This window comes from Homo sapiens, chromosome 3 (assembly GCF_000001405.40).
Source record: "Homo sapiens chromosome 3, GRCh38.p14 Primary Assembly".
Taxonomy (NCBI): domain Eukaryota; kingdom Metazoa; phylum Chordata; class Mammalia; order Primates; family Hominidae; genus Homo; species Homo sapiens.
The window spans coordinates 14843711-14860680 of record NC_000003.12 but is presented as its reverse complement, the minus strand read 5'-3'; the positions used below and the strand labels follow the sequence as shown (position 1 = coordinate 14860680).

General features: G+C 45.9%; 1 protein-coding gene across 6 annotated transcripts in view, besides 1 other annotated feature; it reads right to left on the bottom strand.

Annotated features, from left to right (window-relative positions):
- Positions 1-16970, bottom strand: part of FGD5 (FYVE, RhoGEF and PH domain containing 5) — a 123884-nt gene that overhangs the window by 73891 nt on the left and 33023 nt on the right. The window lies entirely within an intron of this gene.
- Positions 12425-12719: an enhancer, noted in NCBI's record as "tiled region #8692; HepG2 Activating non-DNase unmatched - State 20:ReprD, and K562 Activating DNase unmatched - State 1:Tss". NCBI's record gives its function as "activates a minimal TATA promoter and a strong SV40 promoter by Sharpr-MPRA in HepG2 and K562 cells {active_cell/tissue: HepG2 | K562}" and the evidence as "EXISTENCE:reporter gene assay evidence [ECO:0000049][PMID:27701403]".

Sequence of the window (16970 nt, the reverse complement as noted above, 5' to 3'; positions counted from 1 at the left end):
TTTAAAATAAACCGTATAATTATTAAATTATAATAACGTGTTTGACTAAAGTTATCTTGCTCATATTGGAGGTGCACAGACCTCACAGATGAACCTGGTTACTTCTGATCCTCAATTCAGCCTCAGCCATGGCAGTCGTGGAGCCCATGCAGATGGCCCTCCTCTTATTCTACTTCTTTATCTGATTCTGTTTTCCAGAAAGATCACTAAAACAGATGTTAGGGGCAAAGGTTCAGGTGCTCTGATATTTCTGGCTCATTTATTTCACTGTCCTATATAGGAATTATGAGTACAACAAATGGGGATAAGTCACCATTAGAAATGTGCTGGTTCCTGCCTTCAGGAAAGTGAAAGACGTTTAGGCTCTCAACACTTAAAGGAAGCCCCGCTGAAGCCCAGAGAGTGGACAAACCAGACTCATTGATGGGGCCATTGGGCCACGGTCCACGACAAGACATTCCTGTGGGCCACAGCCACGGCATACCTAGGGGTGTCAAAATGTGGACTTGTGGGGCCTCATCCCCTGCCAAAAGCCAAGCCAGTCCCACTCCTGTCATTGGGCGTTTCTTCCCATTCCCTGCTCCCAGATGCACTTCACCTCCTCCCTTGACCCCCTCCTGTGTTTTGAATTTCTGTTCACTCAGAATTGTAAATGTTTAGTTGTGACCATGATGTATTGTTTGGGTCAGTGTCCCTTTCCAATGCATACTAATATATTATGGTTATTATATATGAATATATTTAATGACATGGAAACAGTTGTTGATTTTCTAAGTTTCTTTCCCTTTTTGGGGGGGGAGTGGTTCGAGTTGTAATGGACCCAGATGGAACTTGTAACATGGGCCATACATGATAGAACCAAATTCAGATATCACTAAATAAAATCTTGTACACTGAGCTGTAAAAACAAAACAAAACAAAGGAAATGTGCTTTTACTGTTGATCAAGGGGTACAAAGTTTCAAACAGGCATGAGGAATGGGTTTTGAGACTACTGCACAGCAGGGTGACTGCAGTCAATAATAAGTATTACATATTTCAAAATAAGAGTAACCTTTCTTCTTTCTTTCTTTTCTTTTGGGTAAGGGTAACTTTTCTTTCTTTCTTTTATTATTTTTTTTTGGGGGGAGGTCTCGCTCTGTCACCCAGGCTGGAGTGCAGTGTGATGTGATCTCTGCTAAGTGCAACCTCTGCTTTCTAGGTTCAAGTGATTCTTGAGCCTCCGCCTCCCGAGTAGCTGGGATTACAGGTGCAAGCCATTATGCCCAGCTAATTTTTGTATTTTTTAATAGAGACAGGGATTCACCATCTTGGCCAGGCTGGTCTCGAACTCCTCACCTCAAGCGATCTGCCCGCCTCAGCCTCCCAAAGTGCCGGGATTACAGGCACGAGCCACTGTGCCTGGCCAACTAACAGTAACTTTCAAATGTCTTACCATAAAAATGATAAGGCGATGGATATGTTAATGACCTTGATTTAATTATGCCACATTGTATACATATACTAAAACATCACATTGTACCCCATAAATGTATAGGATTATGATTTGTCAATCAAAAATTATAGTAATACATTTTTAAAGGTCTAGAAATGTCTTTAAAATATGCACTTCCACAACATGAAAGAGCAAGTATGATACAATGCCTTTGCAGAGTCAATGAAAAAATGGCAGCAACAGACCCTATCTTAAACAGAAGTTAGCAGTAAAATAAACAAATCAAAACGTTCTGATACTAAAACCAAGGCTGTCAACATGGCTGCTCCCATCGACCCTGGTATTGCTACGAGGTTGATTATACACAGGGCAAGGAAACACCTCTGACAGATACATGTTAACCTCTTCCCAAATGCTGTGACAGACCTGGCAGAACTGTGTCCTGGGCAAGTAACCACGTCTTCCCTTGGGGAAAAAGATTGGGAACACTTACATATCATATCTATCTCCCCAGTCTGCCAACAGAAACCTCCGAGATGAGTACTCTGCTCAGTATGGTCAAAGGAAGCCTGCAAGGCTCTATATTTTCAGCTATCTGGTGCCTGCCTGGTTTTTCATTCATTCAAAAAAATTCCTATTACGAGCCGTCTGTTCTAGACTCTGTACTACAGGTACTGAGGGTACAGTGTCTATAGTCTCTCTAGTAAAAATGCCCATTATAATCATAACTGGATGAGGTGTTATCTTCAGGTGGATTCCTTGAGCATACCAATATACTACATATGAGAAAGCCCTCTAACCCAACTACCTACCCATCCACTCATTCACCCATCTATCTATTCATCTATCTATCCATCCATCCATCCATCCATCCATCCATCCATCCATCCACCCACCCACCCGCTTCAGGACACTGGACATCTGACCATCCACTCACCCTTCCAGCCATCCTTCCATCTACTCACTCAGCCATCCCTCCTTCTCACCCATCCCCTCACACTCACTCACCAAATATGGCTCAGCTTCTACTTCATGGAGCTAACACAAGGAGGGATCAAAGATGACTCAAGTACTCTCTCTGGCCTCAGACACAGTACAGTGCAAATTACTTCTGAGCCCAGAGAGAGTACAGAGTGAAGTCTTCTGAGCCTATCCTCTTCACCAGCACTTTGCACTGTACTCTGGGTACTTTACTGTACTCTCTGGCCTCAGAGGTGGAGAGGGTGGGCTCAGACAGACTGCCTGGGTGGAATCCCAGCTGTGCCACTTCAAGCAAGTTTCTTAATCTCTCCGTGTCTCAGCTTTTTTTTTTTTCCAGTTTCATCTATAAAACAGGGGTGATAGTAATATAGGTATAGATTATTTAGAGGATTCATTGAAATAATGCAACAAAGGCACTCAGAAGTGGCACAAAGAAGGTCCTCATTAGATATTAGCTACTGGTGGTGTTTCCATAGCCTGACAGCAACAGACGAAATAAGTTTATCAGAATAGCCCATCAGAACAATGAAAATGCAGACTGCCCCATCCTTCCATCAGCTGGTATCTTTCTGCTCTCTAGCGGACACTAAGGGTGGTTCAGAACCAGTAGAAAGGCCCCCATCTCTACAGTACCTTACAACTTATAGGCAACTTCATATCTGTTTCCTTGCTGAAGTCTCCCGGTTGCCCAGGGCTCAGTGCCTTTGTTTTCTCAAGCCCCAAACCAGGACCAAGGATCTGAAACTTTGCTGTATGTTAAGTGAGGAAGGACATTTGAGAGATAGTTTGGAGGCCAAAAGGATGAAATTTCAGTAGGGCTCAGTGGCTCAAGCCTGTAATCCCAACACTTTGGGAAGCTGAAGCAGGAGGATCGCTTGAAGCCAGCAGTTCAAGACCACTCTTGGCAACAAAATGAGATCCCGTCTCTAAAATAAAAAAAATTAGCTGAATGTAGTGGCTCATCCCTATAGCTATTAGCCTCAGCTACTTGGGAGGCTGAGGCAGGAGAATTGCTTGAGCCTGGGGGGGTGGAGGCTGCTGGTCACACCACTGCACTCCAGCAGCCTGGGTGACAGAGCAAGGCCCTGTCTCTAGAACAAAAAAAAAAAAGGATGACATTTCTAACCATTATTTCAAGAGTTTAAAGGACAGAAAAATCATTTGATAATATTCAACATCCCTTCGTGATAAAAACTCTCAATAAATTAGGTGCAGAAGGAAAGTACCTCAACATAATAATGGCCATATATGATAAATCCACAGCTGACATCTTACTGTTAGCTTTTATCTTTTCCTCTAAGAACTGGAGCAAAACAAAGGTGTCCACTCTCACCACCATTCTTCAACATACTACTGAGAGTCCTAGCCAGAGCAATAAGGCAAGAGAAAGAAATAAAAGGCATCCAAATTAGAAAGGAAGAAGTCAAACTGTCCCTGTTTGCAGATGACATAATCTTATATATAGAAAACCCTAAATATTCTACCAAAAACCTCTTAGAGCTGATAAACTCAGTAAAGTTGCAGGATACATAATCAATATATAAAAATCCGTAGCATTTCTATACATGAACAATAAACTAGCTGAGAACGATTTTTCAAGAGCTACAAAAAAAAAATCACAATACTACATTTACAATAGCTACAAGAAAAGCCCAATCTAGAAATAAATTTAACTAAGAAGGTGAAAGACTTCTACAAGAAAAAACATAAAACACTGATGAAAAAAATCAAAGAGGATACCAACAAATAGACATTCCATGCTCATGGATCAGAAGAATTACTATTGTAAAAATGACAATACTTACCCAAAGCAATTTACAGATTCAACATAATCCCCATCAAAATACTAATGACATTCTTCACAGAAACAGAAATTAAAATTCTAAAATTTACATGGAGCCACAAAAGACCCAAATAGCCAAAGCAATCCTGAGCCAAAAGAATAAAGCTGGGGGCACCACATTACCAGACTTCAAAATATACTACAAAGCTATAGTAACCAAAAAAGCATGGCACTGGAATAAAAACAGACACACAGAACAAGGGAACAAAATAGAGAACCCAGAAATTAATCCATATATATACAGACAACTAATGTTTTGACAAAAGTGCCAAGAACATTCACTGGAGAAAGGACAGTCTAAATGGGTCTGGGAAAACTGAATATCCATATGTAGAGGAATGAAACTAGATCCTTACCTCTCATGCTATAAAAAAAATCAACCTCAAAAGGGATCAAAGACCTAAATGTAAGACCCAAAACTATAAAACTAGTAGAAGAAAACATAGGAGAAATGCTTCAGGGCATTGGTCTGGGAAAATATTTTATGACTAAGACCTCAAAAACACAGGCAACAAAAGTAAAAATAAACAAATGGGATTATATCAAACAACAAAGCATCTGTACAGCAAAGGAAATCATCAACAGAGTGAAAAGACAACCTACAGAATGGGAGAAAATATCTGCAAACTACTCATCCGACAGGGGATTAATATCCAGAATAGATAAGAAACTCAAAGGTCTTAACAGAAAAAACATACACACACACACAAAAACCCAATCTGATTAAAAAGATGGGTAAATGATATGAATAGACATTTCTCAAAAAAAAAACATACAAATGGCCAACAAGTATATTTTTAAAATGTCCACATCACTAATCACTAGGGAAATGCCAATCAAAACCACAATGAGATATCATCTCACACCTGTTAGAATGGCTATTATCAAAAAGACGCAAGATAACAAATGCTGGCAAGGATGTGGAGAAAAGGGAACTCTTCTACACTGCTGATGGGAATGTAAATCAGTAGAGCCACTATGGAGAACAATATGGAGATTCCTCAAAGAACTACAAATAGAACTACCATGTGATCCAGCAATCCTACTACTGGGCATTTATCCAAAGGAAAGAAAATCAGTATATGGAGGAGACATCTACACCTCCATCTTTACTGCAGCACTATTCACAGTAGCTGAGATACAGAATCAACCTAGGTATCCAACAACAGATGAATGGATAATGAAAATACATACACAACGGAACACTATTCAGCCATAAAAAAGAAAGAAATCCTGTCATTTGTTGCAACATGAATGGGATTGGAGGACATTATGTTAAGTGAAATAAGCGAGGAACAGAAAGTTAAACACTGCATGTTCTCACTCATATGTGGAAACTAAAAAAAAGCTAACCTCATAGACGTAAAAAGTGGAACAGAGGATACTAGAGGCTGGGAAGGATAGGAGTAAGGTGAGGATAGGGAGAGATCTGTAAAAGAATAAAAGATACAGCCAGATAAGAGGAATAAGTTCTAGGGTTCCATAGCACTGTAGGAGGACTACAGTTATCAATCATATATTATATAGTTTCAAATAGCTAGGAGGAGGATATTGAATGTTCCCAACACAAAGAAATGATCAACGTTTGAGATGATGGTATGCTAACTATCCTGATCTGATCTATAAATTACATATATCAAAACATCACTATGGACCTAATGAATATGTACAATTATTATTTGTCAATTTAAAAAATAAAAGAGGGCCAGGTCTGCTGGCTCACACTTGTAATCCCAGCACTTTGGAAGGCTGAGGCGGGAGCATTGACTGAGCCCAGGAGTCTTTGAGATCAGCCCTGGCAACACAGCAAGACCTCCCATACCTACAAAAAATTAAAAAACTAGCTAGGTGCAGTGGTGCACACCTGTAGTCCTAGCTACTTGGGAGGCTAGGGCAGGAGGATCACTTGAGCCCAGGAGGTCAAGGCTGCAGTGAGCTATGATCACGCCACTGCAGTCCAGCCTGGGCGACAGAGTGAGCTCGTCTCAATAAATAAATAAATAAATAAATAAATAAATAAATAAATAAATAAAAAGAAAAGAAACAAAAAATAAAGGACCAGTGGTCTGTTGTACCCTGAATGGGATCTTTCCAGGAAATTCTGGGCATGTGGTCATTACAGGAGTACTATGGTCCCACCACTCAATAAGTTTACCTGGAGAGTCACATTCTGGGAAAACGGGAAAAGGGCCAGGTGGTCAGCATTTTAAGTTTAGTGACCAAGTAGCCCAGAATGTTGGCATCACACAGAAAAGAGTCACTGTGTGACCTCAGGCAAGCCACTCAACCTCTCTGTTTCTTACCTATAAGGTGGTGATAACTATGGAGGTTCACGGTGGGAGTCAATAAGAACACGATGGTGAAAGCAGCCAGGGGCTGACATACAGCAGGTCCTTTCTGGCCAGCTCTGAAGAGCCTGCAGAAGGGCCAAATTCTAAACCCCCCGCCTAGTCTCCCTGGGACTGTATCCACCCTCTGAGTCCACTTGTGCTGTAAAGGGAATATCAATTAAAGCTGCTCAGAGGCTGTTACCTTAAACGACCTTCCAAATGTCCTTCCAAAGGACTAGGCTCCAAATGAGCCTAGTCCTTTTCGGCAGCCTAGAGTTGTAAGAGGATATGTGCCTCCACGTGGGGAGATGAACGCTGTGTAACCCGGCCTGGTGCTGTCCAACTCTGACCATTTAATTCCGTCCTATGTAACGCTGGTTGGGAGCCATAACTCTGAGCACAGCCAAAAGGGCCTAATAACTCGTAAAAAAAAAAAAAAAAAAAAAAAAAAAAAAAGGAACGCTTTTCCCCCTGGGAATCTCTCAGTGGGCACTCCAACCTCAAATTCCATCCTCACTGGTGTGGAGATTCATGCAAATGGGGCCAGATTGCAGACGTAACTTCTCCCAGCCCCTCCGAGACAGGCTGGGACCTTTCTGAAGCTCACCAGCCCAGCAGGGAGGGGAAGGGGGCTTCGGGGCTGAGCTCTCTGGGAGCTGGAAAGTTTGAAATGGAGGAGACAGGCTGGTGAGAATGAGTATCCCAATTAGCAGAATAGCTGGAAGAGCTTGTAAGTGGGCGGAGGGGAGGGCTGGATACGGGATAGGGATTTCTAAACCCTCAGACATTCGCTCCACTCCTTTGCTGAATCCTTCACCCCTCAGCACCCCAGCACCTTCCCAGTACTAAACAGTCCCTCCAGGACTTCCCCTGGTGACCCCTTCTGCTCTGATGCTTCCTTGTCCTCACAGGGACATTGCAATCTTTGCAGATGGAGCTATCATTTGCACTGTAACTGGGACCACGGAAGACAAAGCACAGCGCAAATGTGATACTGTGGAAACAGCCCAAGAGGACTGGGGGTCCTGGATTCCTCAGGAAACCCTGCGTCATCTGGGCTACGTCGTGGCTGTCCTGGGGAGGCTAAGTTTCCACATCTATAAAACTGAGGTGGAGGCTGGACTCATGGGTCAAAGCACAAAACACCCAGACATATGAAACTGTGTGCTGAGACCAGACACACACATCCCACAGCCTGGGGGCCAGGCCCTGAGAACGCTGCCTGCCTGGTGCCTCGTCGTGTCTGAAGTGAGGCTCCCTTTCACGCCTCTCGGAGAGAATGCCTCCTGCACCCAGGGTCAGCCAAGGGATAGCATTGTAATGGTTCCCAGAAACATGACCGAAGGAGAGACTTTTAAAAAAATTCAATTTCCATTTCTCACTAAGTAAAAACAAAAGTTCATCCTTGTTTTCTGACCAGAGACATCCCCACCCCTCCTCTTAAAACGCAGCAGCATCAGTGGTTTCAGAGGGGTTTGCTTTCTTTTTATAATAGCATTAATGAGATATGAGTCACATATCATGAAATATGCCCCTTTAAAATACAATTCAGTGCTTTTTAGTATATTAGTATATTTGAAAGAGTTGTGTGGCCAACACCGTTATCTAATTTTGGAACATTTTCATCAATCCAAAAAGAAACCTCACTCCTTGCTAGGCCTCTCAGCCCCTGGCAACCGCTAGTCTACTTCCCGTCTCTACGGATTTGCCTATTCTGAACATTTCATTACATGAAATCATACAGTATGAGGCTTTTTGGGTCTGGATTCTTTCACTTAGTGTGTTTTCCAGGTCCACCCATTTTGTAGCATGTGTCAGCTCTTCATTCTTTTTCATGGCTGAGTAATATTCCACAGTATGGACAGATCATACTGCTTATCCATTCAACTGATAGACATTTGAATTGTTTCTTTTTGGCTATCATGTATAATGCTGCTGTGAATATCTGTGTACGCATTTTTGTATAGCCATATTTTCCTTTCTCTTGGGTATATACCTAGAAGTGGAATTGCTGGGTCATATGATAAATCTATATTTAATGTTTTGAGAACTACCAGACTGTACTCCAAAGAGGCTGTATCATTCCACATTCCTACCAGGAGTGTATGAGGGTTCTAATTTCTCTACAGTCTTGTCAACACTTGTTATTGTCTGCCTTTTTTTTTTTTATCTTAGCCATCCTAGTGGGTTTGAAGTGGCTTTATAAGGATTTTCAAAGAATTTTGTTTTTTTCTGATTCCATCTCAGCCTCCTCCCAACCTGAGCAAACACTATTTTTCCTAGCCAAAGAGAAAAAGGGAAACACAACTGTGACCATGAAGGCTTTATTTTCAGATAATCAAGTGAGGCTCAGAAGTCTAGTGGGGGTGGGGGGGAATTTAAACTTTTAGAAGATCTTCAGGAACCTCATAAAATTATAACATAAAGAGGTAACATTCAAGAACAATATGTAAGCCGGAGCCACAAACCTACCACTGTGATGGTGTCTCAGGCTCTGTCTTTGGGACACTGGAAGTGCCTTGGGCAACCTGAGGTAGTGATGCTGGCAGCAGAGGCTGGAGCCAGCATTTCTGCCACACTGTTGGGTCACAGGCCTGGCCTAGCCATAACCACTGGCTCTAACATTTTGGTCATCTCTGGGACTGCAGTAAAGGACAGTGGTAAAGGGCATACATTTTGGGACCTGACTGTCTGATGCCAAGACCCAGTTCTGCCACTTATCAGCCCAATGACCTTGGGTAAGTTGCTTAACCTGCCTGCCTCAGTTTCCTCATCTATAACATGGAGATGATATCAGTCCTTAAATTCCCAAGGTCTATGAGGGTCTATGTAGGGATCAGATGAGATGACATCTGTAAATGAGGTATACGACCTGTGTAACACAGTACCTGCTGGTTTTATGTTACTAGAGTCCGTCTGAGCTACAGGCAGTCTGAATTCAACAGGCAGAGCTCCTCAACGCTTACAGACCTGGGTTCTGGTCCCACCTCTGTCACCAGTGTGGGCCCCTTCCCCTCCAAGGGCCTTAGTTTCCCCATCTGTAAAATAAGAGAACTAGAACTAGAAGCCCTTCTCACCACGACGCGCTGTGGCTTTATTTTATGTCCAAAGCTGAGGAATTTTGCCAGAGTGATTCCTGCCACATCTTTGGCATTACCGACCAGCCTACACAGCCAAACCAACTCCCTGGCCCATGCATACATTTGCAGTTTCCCATCTATCCCCCTTCCAAGACTGTTACAGAATTCCTTCCCACCCTCCCCTGCACTTGCCCAACACCATCCCTCCCACCCACCACTGCCCCCCCAACCAAGGTCCAACCCAAATACCACCTCTTCCAAGAAGCCTTCTGTCTCTCCAGCAGGAGGGGCTCCCGTTGCAGTTTACTACAACGACTCCAGTTAATTTACGTTCCTATATTAAAGTTCCTTGAAGGTAGCAGTCATGGGCTTGCTATGCATTTCTGTGTCCTCCATGAAGTGCACACAGTAGGTGCCCGACAAATGACTGTCCTATCCCAGTTTCCCCATCTCATCCCAGCTGATGGAGGTGACTTCCTCCCATCACCCAGGGGGAGGGCGTCTCTCTGTCTGCACACATAACACAGTACCTGGCTCACGCTGAAATGGCATCACAGGTGCTGCCACTGCTGAGAACACTGTGGCCAGACAAGTATTAGGAGACAAACGAGCTTCCTTCCTCACCAGGCCACGCTTTTAAATCACTAGGAATATGGCCAGGGGTGGGAGAGGGAGAAGCACCCCAGAGGCTGGATCTGGTTCTCCCACAGGTTCAGCTGATACTGAAGGATGGGTGGTGGGGACTGCCTTGGTTTCCTCATCTGCAAGATGAGCTCTACAGTTGTGGGTCCTGAGCACCTAACTCCAGCCCAAAGCAGGAGGAAACTCAGACGCATCTTTCTCCTGCAACCTCCGCTCTGGGAGTCAGAGGAAGCCAGACCACAGGCGAAGCAGGAAGGGCCGGGGAGTCACTGCTCCTGCCCCAGGCAGCTGGGGAGGATGCAGCAGCTGGAGATTCACAGAGGACACTATAATTTAATAACCACACACCACATCTGAAGTTGCCAGGAGCTATGAGAGGGGCAGCCTGTGGTTTCCAAGTGTGGTGGTCTGAATAACAATCCCCTTCTCCCACCCCTCCCTTCCACACAGACACAGCCAGCCAATACTAACAACAGAAGCAGCAGCAACAGCAGACACAGAAGCCAGCATTTTTTTTAGGGCTTACTAAGTGCCAGGTGCTCTATGGCTTCTTCCCAACCACTGTATCCTGTAGACATTAACACTCCCATTTTACGGATGGAGAAACAGGTGCACAGAGGCTAAGTTCAGGGCCAGGATCTGAACACAGGGAATGTGGTTTCAGAGCTCCCCCTCTGACAATGAGTCTATGCAACCTCTACTGTATTTATTCATTTATTAAGCACTGAGCTGAGCACGTCCCAGGGGCTACCTCGTTTGATCCTTTCAACCAGCTTAGTGAGGGTTAGAAGCACTTTCAACCACTTAGTGAGGTAAGCACTATTATTATACTCATCTTTCAGTTGGAGAAACTAAGGCTCTGTGAAGTTAAATGACTTGCCCAAGGTCCACTCTGCTATATTCCCCTTCCATCAACCTCTCTCAGACAAAACCACAAGCAGATGGCCCATGGCTGGACCCACACACTGGACACATCCATTCATTCGGTTCACTGTCACCTCCTCTGTGCTGGGCAGTACCAGGGCAGAGCAGGACTCCCAGCCCACAAGGCATGAAAATGTGTGAGAGGTGCCAGGACACAGAGGAGTGTGCACAGAGCACCTGTAGGGCAGGTGGGCGCAGGCCTTTTGACGCACATGAACAGGAGCGTCACCTGTGGCAGGAGTGGGATGCCTGGATGGGGGACGCAGAGGGAATCCATCACACAGGGCCAGACAGAGACGGACACACTGAGGCTCAGGCCCAGAACGGAAGGGCCTCACACTTGGACCCAGACACGTGATAGTGCACACATGCTCTTGTCATGTCACTCATGTGGTCTTCCCCAACTCCATCTGCCTCCTCTACTCCAAACACAGAAGAAGCATTTTCAGAGGATGCCACCCTTTGCCAAGGGCTCTAAACCCTATAAATCCACGCTGCTCCTGAGGGCAGGGGCTGCATGTGATTCTGCTGGTCCCTAGAGCCCAGATGAGAATGGATGCCTGGAAAGTGTTTGCTGACCTGAGCTGATCTGACTTCTCACACCAGCCAGGGCCCAGGGTCCTCTCCTTGCCAAGGCCAGCTCAACCCTTACATCCTACTCTAGGAAGCCTTCCCTGACTACTAGCTAAGCTAATGGGGCTGAAGCTTTAGGTCCTACACTTGCATGGGTGGGTACCTTTCAAGGTTCAATAAGTTAATTTATAATCTTTTTTATTTGCATAAATTTAAAAAATAACCTATATACTATCAGTATAATCAACATAGAGCCCATTTCTTACAAGATTTTAATTTTCACACACTTCTTAAGGAAGCTTTTTGTGGTATAAGTGAGGTGCCTAACCTGTACCCCATGGGTTCCAGGGCTGCATGGGGCTGGCCTGGCCTTTTTGCATCTTGGTTCTCCCATTTGGGTTCTGTACTCCATGAGGGCAGTGAGCCCTGCGGTGTTAAGGCTGCAGCAAGTTACCTACTTAACAGATGGGGGCAGTGAGGGCCAGGGGGAAGGATGAGAAAGCAGACCAGATTTCCATGGCTCCCAGAAGCCTCCCTGCAGAGGGGGTCAGCTGTCCTGGGGTTCAGGCGTTTGGGGTGTGGCAGTCTTGGAGGGAAGAGGCGCGGGGAAGGGCAGGGCTGCCCAGGAAGTGGGACTTTTGCCTCCCACAACAACGAAAAGCCTCGTCCAAAGGGTGAGAAGAGAGGCACCGCCCTCAGCCCCACATGTCTTCAGGGCTCACAGTGGCTGGCTGCCCCTCCTCCACCCACCTCCCAGGACTTGTCCTGCATTTCCTGTAAACACCGACACTTCCTCCCTGGGGAGGACCTGGCAGTGTTGGGGCCACACCCCGCGGCTGACAGAGCCCGGCAACAATGGCTGGCCCGGGGCTCCAGCTGGCCACTCCACACCTCAGGCCTTCCCAGGGACCCAGAGAAAGGCTACCCTTTCCTAGAGCTGGGGAGCCCAATGCCCCCATGCCACAGATGGACAACTCAAGGCTCAGAGAGGAGGGGAGGCATCTGTCCTGGGCTACACAGCAAGTCTACAGCCAAAGGCAGGGTTATGACTTGCTCATCTCTACACCTCAGCGCCTCATCTGCTGACCATGACACACTGAGCTCTCGAAGGTGAGAACACCCGGGAGGAGCTCAGTCTCCAGCCAGCCTGCCTAGATTTCCAAAACTTGGTTCTTTGCCACTTATCAGCTACACAACCCTGGGCAAGTTTTCTGTGCCTCAATTTCCTCATCAGTAAAGCAGGGATAGTAACAGTACAGACCTCATTAGGTTGCTGTGAGGATTTAGTGAAGTGATACATACAAAACAACGAGAACATACTGCAGCTATGTTGCTGTTCCTGTTTTTAATGTTTACTGAAAGCTCCAACCAGGACAGACTCTGAGTCTCCAGACCTCCATCCCACCAGGGATGCTAATTGGGCTCGGCTTTCCAACTTCAAAGCAGTTCAGGGTTAGAAGCACTGTTCTAGGAGTCAGGAGACTCTTGCTCTGCCAGTAACTCACCCCATGATCTCGGACAAAAACACTTCCCTCCTATGTGCCTCAGTTTCCTCAGCTATAAAATGGAGACTAAAACCCTGCTCTATCTCATGGGTGGCTGGGAGGTAAAATGAGACAACAGACAGAAAAGCACGTAGAAAAGTTCCAGTTGATACATTAGGTGTTTCGGGTGGGGGTCGGCATTTCCAAACAAATTGTCACAAAAACTCATCTTCGAGGATAAGCCCTGAAAGTCTTTATCAGTATGGTGTTAATAATCTGGCTACACTGACAGCTTATGTGTGCCAAGTCCTGGCCAAGTGCTTACCAGCAGGATCTCATTCACTCCTCGGAACAACTCTCCCAGCAGGCTATTATCATTCCCATATCACAAAACAGAGGGATGGAGGGGGACCACTAAGTTCAGTCTCCCTTGATTTGTCCTAAACCTGTTACCTTCAGCTCTAAGAACAGGCTGAAAAGGGTTTCCTTACAGCCCAGCTAAGATCTGCACAGCACTTCACAGTCTACAAACACCTCCACATATTTCATCATGGTTCATTCTTCCCGCAAACATGTAAGGTAGGCATTGTCACCTCCAACAAAGAGAAGAAAGCAAGGCCCAGGGGGGCTGAGTGACTGCCTGCGTCCCACAGTTACACAGTAAAAATGGGGTCTCTGGTCCCACGGTTGGGAAGTTTCCCCTTTGTATGACAATGCTTCTTCATCTTCTGCATGAACCAAGAGGACCTGGACAGTGGCTCCTGACTCTGGACCCAGCACAGGGACATGTCAGGCAACTCCCCCGTGGACCTGGGGTGCCGTGTGAGCAGTTTCTGAGGCCTGTGGCCGGGTGTCTGGAAGTATTTATGAGCTATGCAACTAAGCCTGCTTTTTCAGTCAGTAATTGCTTTGAAATATGGGTTCTGAGAGTTTGGCTGCAGTGCTAGCTGGCACAGCCTTCTCCCCACATGCCAGGACAGAGACCACGACAATAGAAAGCTGGGAAAACCACCCACCCCACAGACAACTCTGGCTTGGGATGAAAGAAAGCATTGGAAGAGAGGCAATGAGCTGAAAAATAGAGCCCCTGAGGATGGCACCCTCCTCCCTCAGCCCCATCCTCACTAGTACAATCTTTTGGCTCCCCAAAGAAGCCCCTGAGCCCCCAAACCACACATGCCTCTCCCACATTTCAAGCATTTTCTTCTTCCATGTGAAGATTGCACCAGCCACACGGGTTCAATTAACACGACAGGTGTGCCCCTAGTTAATGACTTGGGAGATAATTCCGACATGAAACAAGCTTGAAGTTTCATCAAATAGGGAAGAGGTTTTCTAACAATCAGTCACTTTTATGTCAATAAACCACGGGGCTTGGTGAGTTTGAGTTCTCATCCCTGTACTCACACCCAGTCCCAAACCCAGCCTCTGAGCAGCACATACCTCACTCCACATCCTTCATGTCTACCTGTTGGGCCACCTGTCCCCCAACTTCAGTCATAGCCCCTCTCCAGATTCTGAAATTCACACTGCCACTAGTCAGGGAGGACCTGAGGAACTTGCTTCTGTATCCCAGGGTCTGAACATAAAGTGTATTAAAGGCAGTTTTCAAACTGTAAAGTTCTATAAAACAAAGCACGTGGCAATGAACACTGCTCTAGACCTGTGGGGGGATGACTATGAAGCCCACCCCTGGGGATCTTGTTTCTGATGCAAAGTTCACCTTCAAGTGTTACCAGGCTCCAGGGTCTGGGTCTCTGTCTTGATAAACTCTCCCACATCCCAGCCTCAGTAGATGGAGTCTTGCTACCTCCACCCTGCCTGCATCACCTGTTCCTAGACTTCTTAGTTCAGGGAAACTTCTTAACGTTTCAGAGTACGGAAAGGAACCAAAAACTAAAACTGCAACAATGCAACAGCCTTGCAGCAGGAGCAAGAACCCTGCCCCAGGAGGTATTCAAGCACTGGCTTATTGAGAACTGAAGCATCTGGGAAGGGGAGGGGCATCCCCATCACTAAAGGTCCCTTCCAACCTCAAAGTGAGTAACTTCAGTAGTTTCAACTTAAACCTTTCAGAGTAAAATAAGTTAGGGGTCGATGTGGCCAGCAAGTTGAGGATGATTTCAGAATGCAGCTGGATGAAACCCTTCCTGCTGTCTAGACTAAGCCCAATCCAAGGGTGCCTTCAGAACCTTTACAATGGAAAGGACCTGCAGTGGAGTGAAGGCATCAGGGCTTTTTTTTTAGCATGTACAGGTGACAGAAGAGAACACAAACACCCAAAACCCAGAAGCTGTAGGCATTTTCTGAGTGAGTGGAGGCAGAATTTCTGCTAACTCTCAAATCCCAGGAGGCACAGAAGTTAGAAGCTGAGCTGAGGTGGCCACCTTTCCCTGCTACTCCAGAACCGAGGCATAGGGACTTCCTTGCACACCTTAGAAGGTAACGGGACACCAGCCATGGGCTACTGCACCTGACCAGACCAGCAGCATTTAGTTAAGAGGAGAGATGAGGGCAAGACTTTCCAGGAACAAAAAAGATTTGAGTGCAGTCTATTGAGGAGAGACTGGGGCTTATGATTCGAGCACAACACTGGGCTAGCTCCTTCTAGACATTGTCCAATTTAGCTTTCCTAACAAGTCTATGAGATAGGAATTATCAGCTCCATTTCATAGATGAGAAAACTGAGGCACAGAGACATGAAGTGACTAGCCCAAAGTCACACTGTCAGTGAACTATGCAGCCAGGGTTTTATGCCAAAGCTGACTGACAGGCAAGATATTCAGCACCGCAACCTACCTCTGCCTGTCTGGTCTGGCTGTCCCCAAGGGACCCTTCTCCCTATCCCTTCCTTTGCACAAACACAGCAGTGTCAGTCGGGTCCCAAGGCTATTTCTCCTCTGCCTTCAGCTTGGCCCCAAGATTCCTGGAATGGATCTGACCAAAGGGAGGTGACTTTTCCACGCAGCTAGTTAAGAAGCCACACGGTACAGGGCAGTGTTTCTCTAAGGGGGAAACTGGGAGTGCCTGGGGGAGTCTGTTACAAATGCAGATTGTGCAGCAACACCCCACACCCAGTGAATCCGAGTCTCAGGGGAAGGGCCTGGAAACCTGCATTATATATATATATATATATATATATATATATATATATATATATATATATATATATTTTTTTTTTTTTTAATGCCTATTAAGATGTGAGAAATGTTACAGCTGAAAGGGTCAGGACATTCAGGTTCAAATCCCAGCTCCCCTAGCTATGCAACCCTGGACAAGCCACTTCGCTTTTGTCAGCCTCAGTTTCTTCACTTGTCTGGTTGGGATAGGAATCCCGTCCTTCCAACTCACAGGGTTGCTGTGAGTTTCAAAGGAAGTTAGAAAAGCGCCCTGGGAGCTGGGCGCAGTGGCTCACGCCTGTAATCCCAGCACTTTGGGAGGCCGAGGCGAGCAGATCACCTGAGGTCAGGAGTTTGAGACCAGCCTGGCCAACATGGCGAAAACCCATCTCTACTAAAAAATACAAAAATTAGTTGGGTGTGGTGGTGGTGCATACCTGTAATCCCAGCTACTCAGGAGGTTGAGGCACGAGAATCACGTGAACCCAGGAGGCAGAGGTTGCAGTAAGCCGAGATCACGCCACTGCACCCCAGCCTGGGCGACAGAATGAGACTCTGTC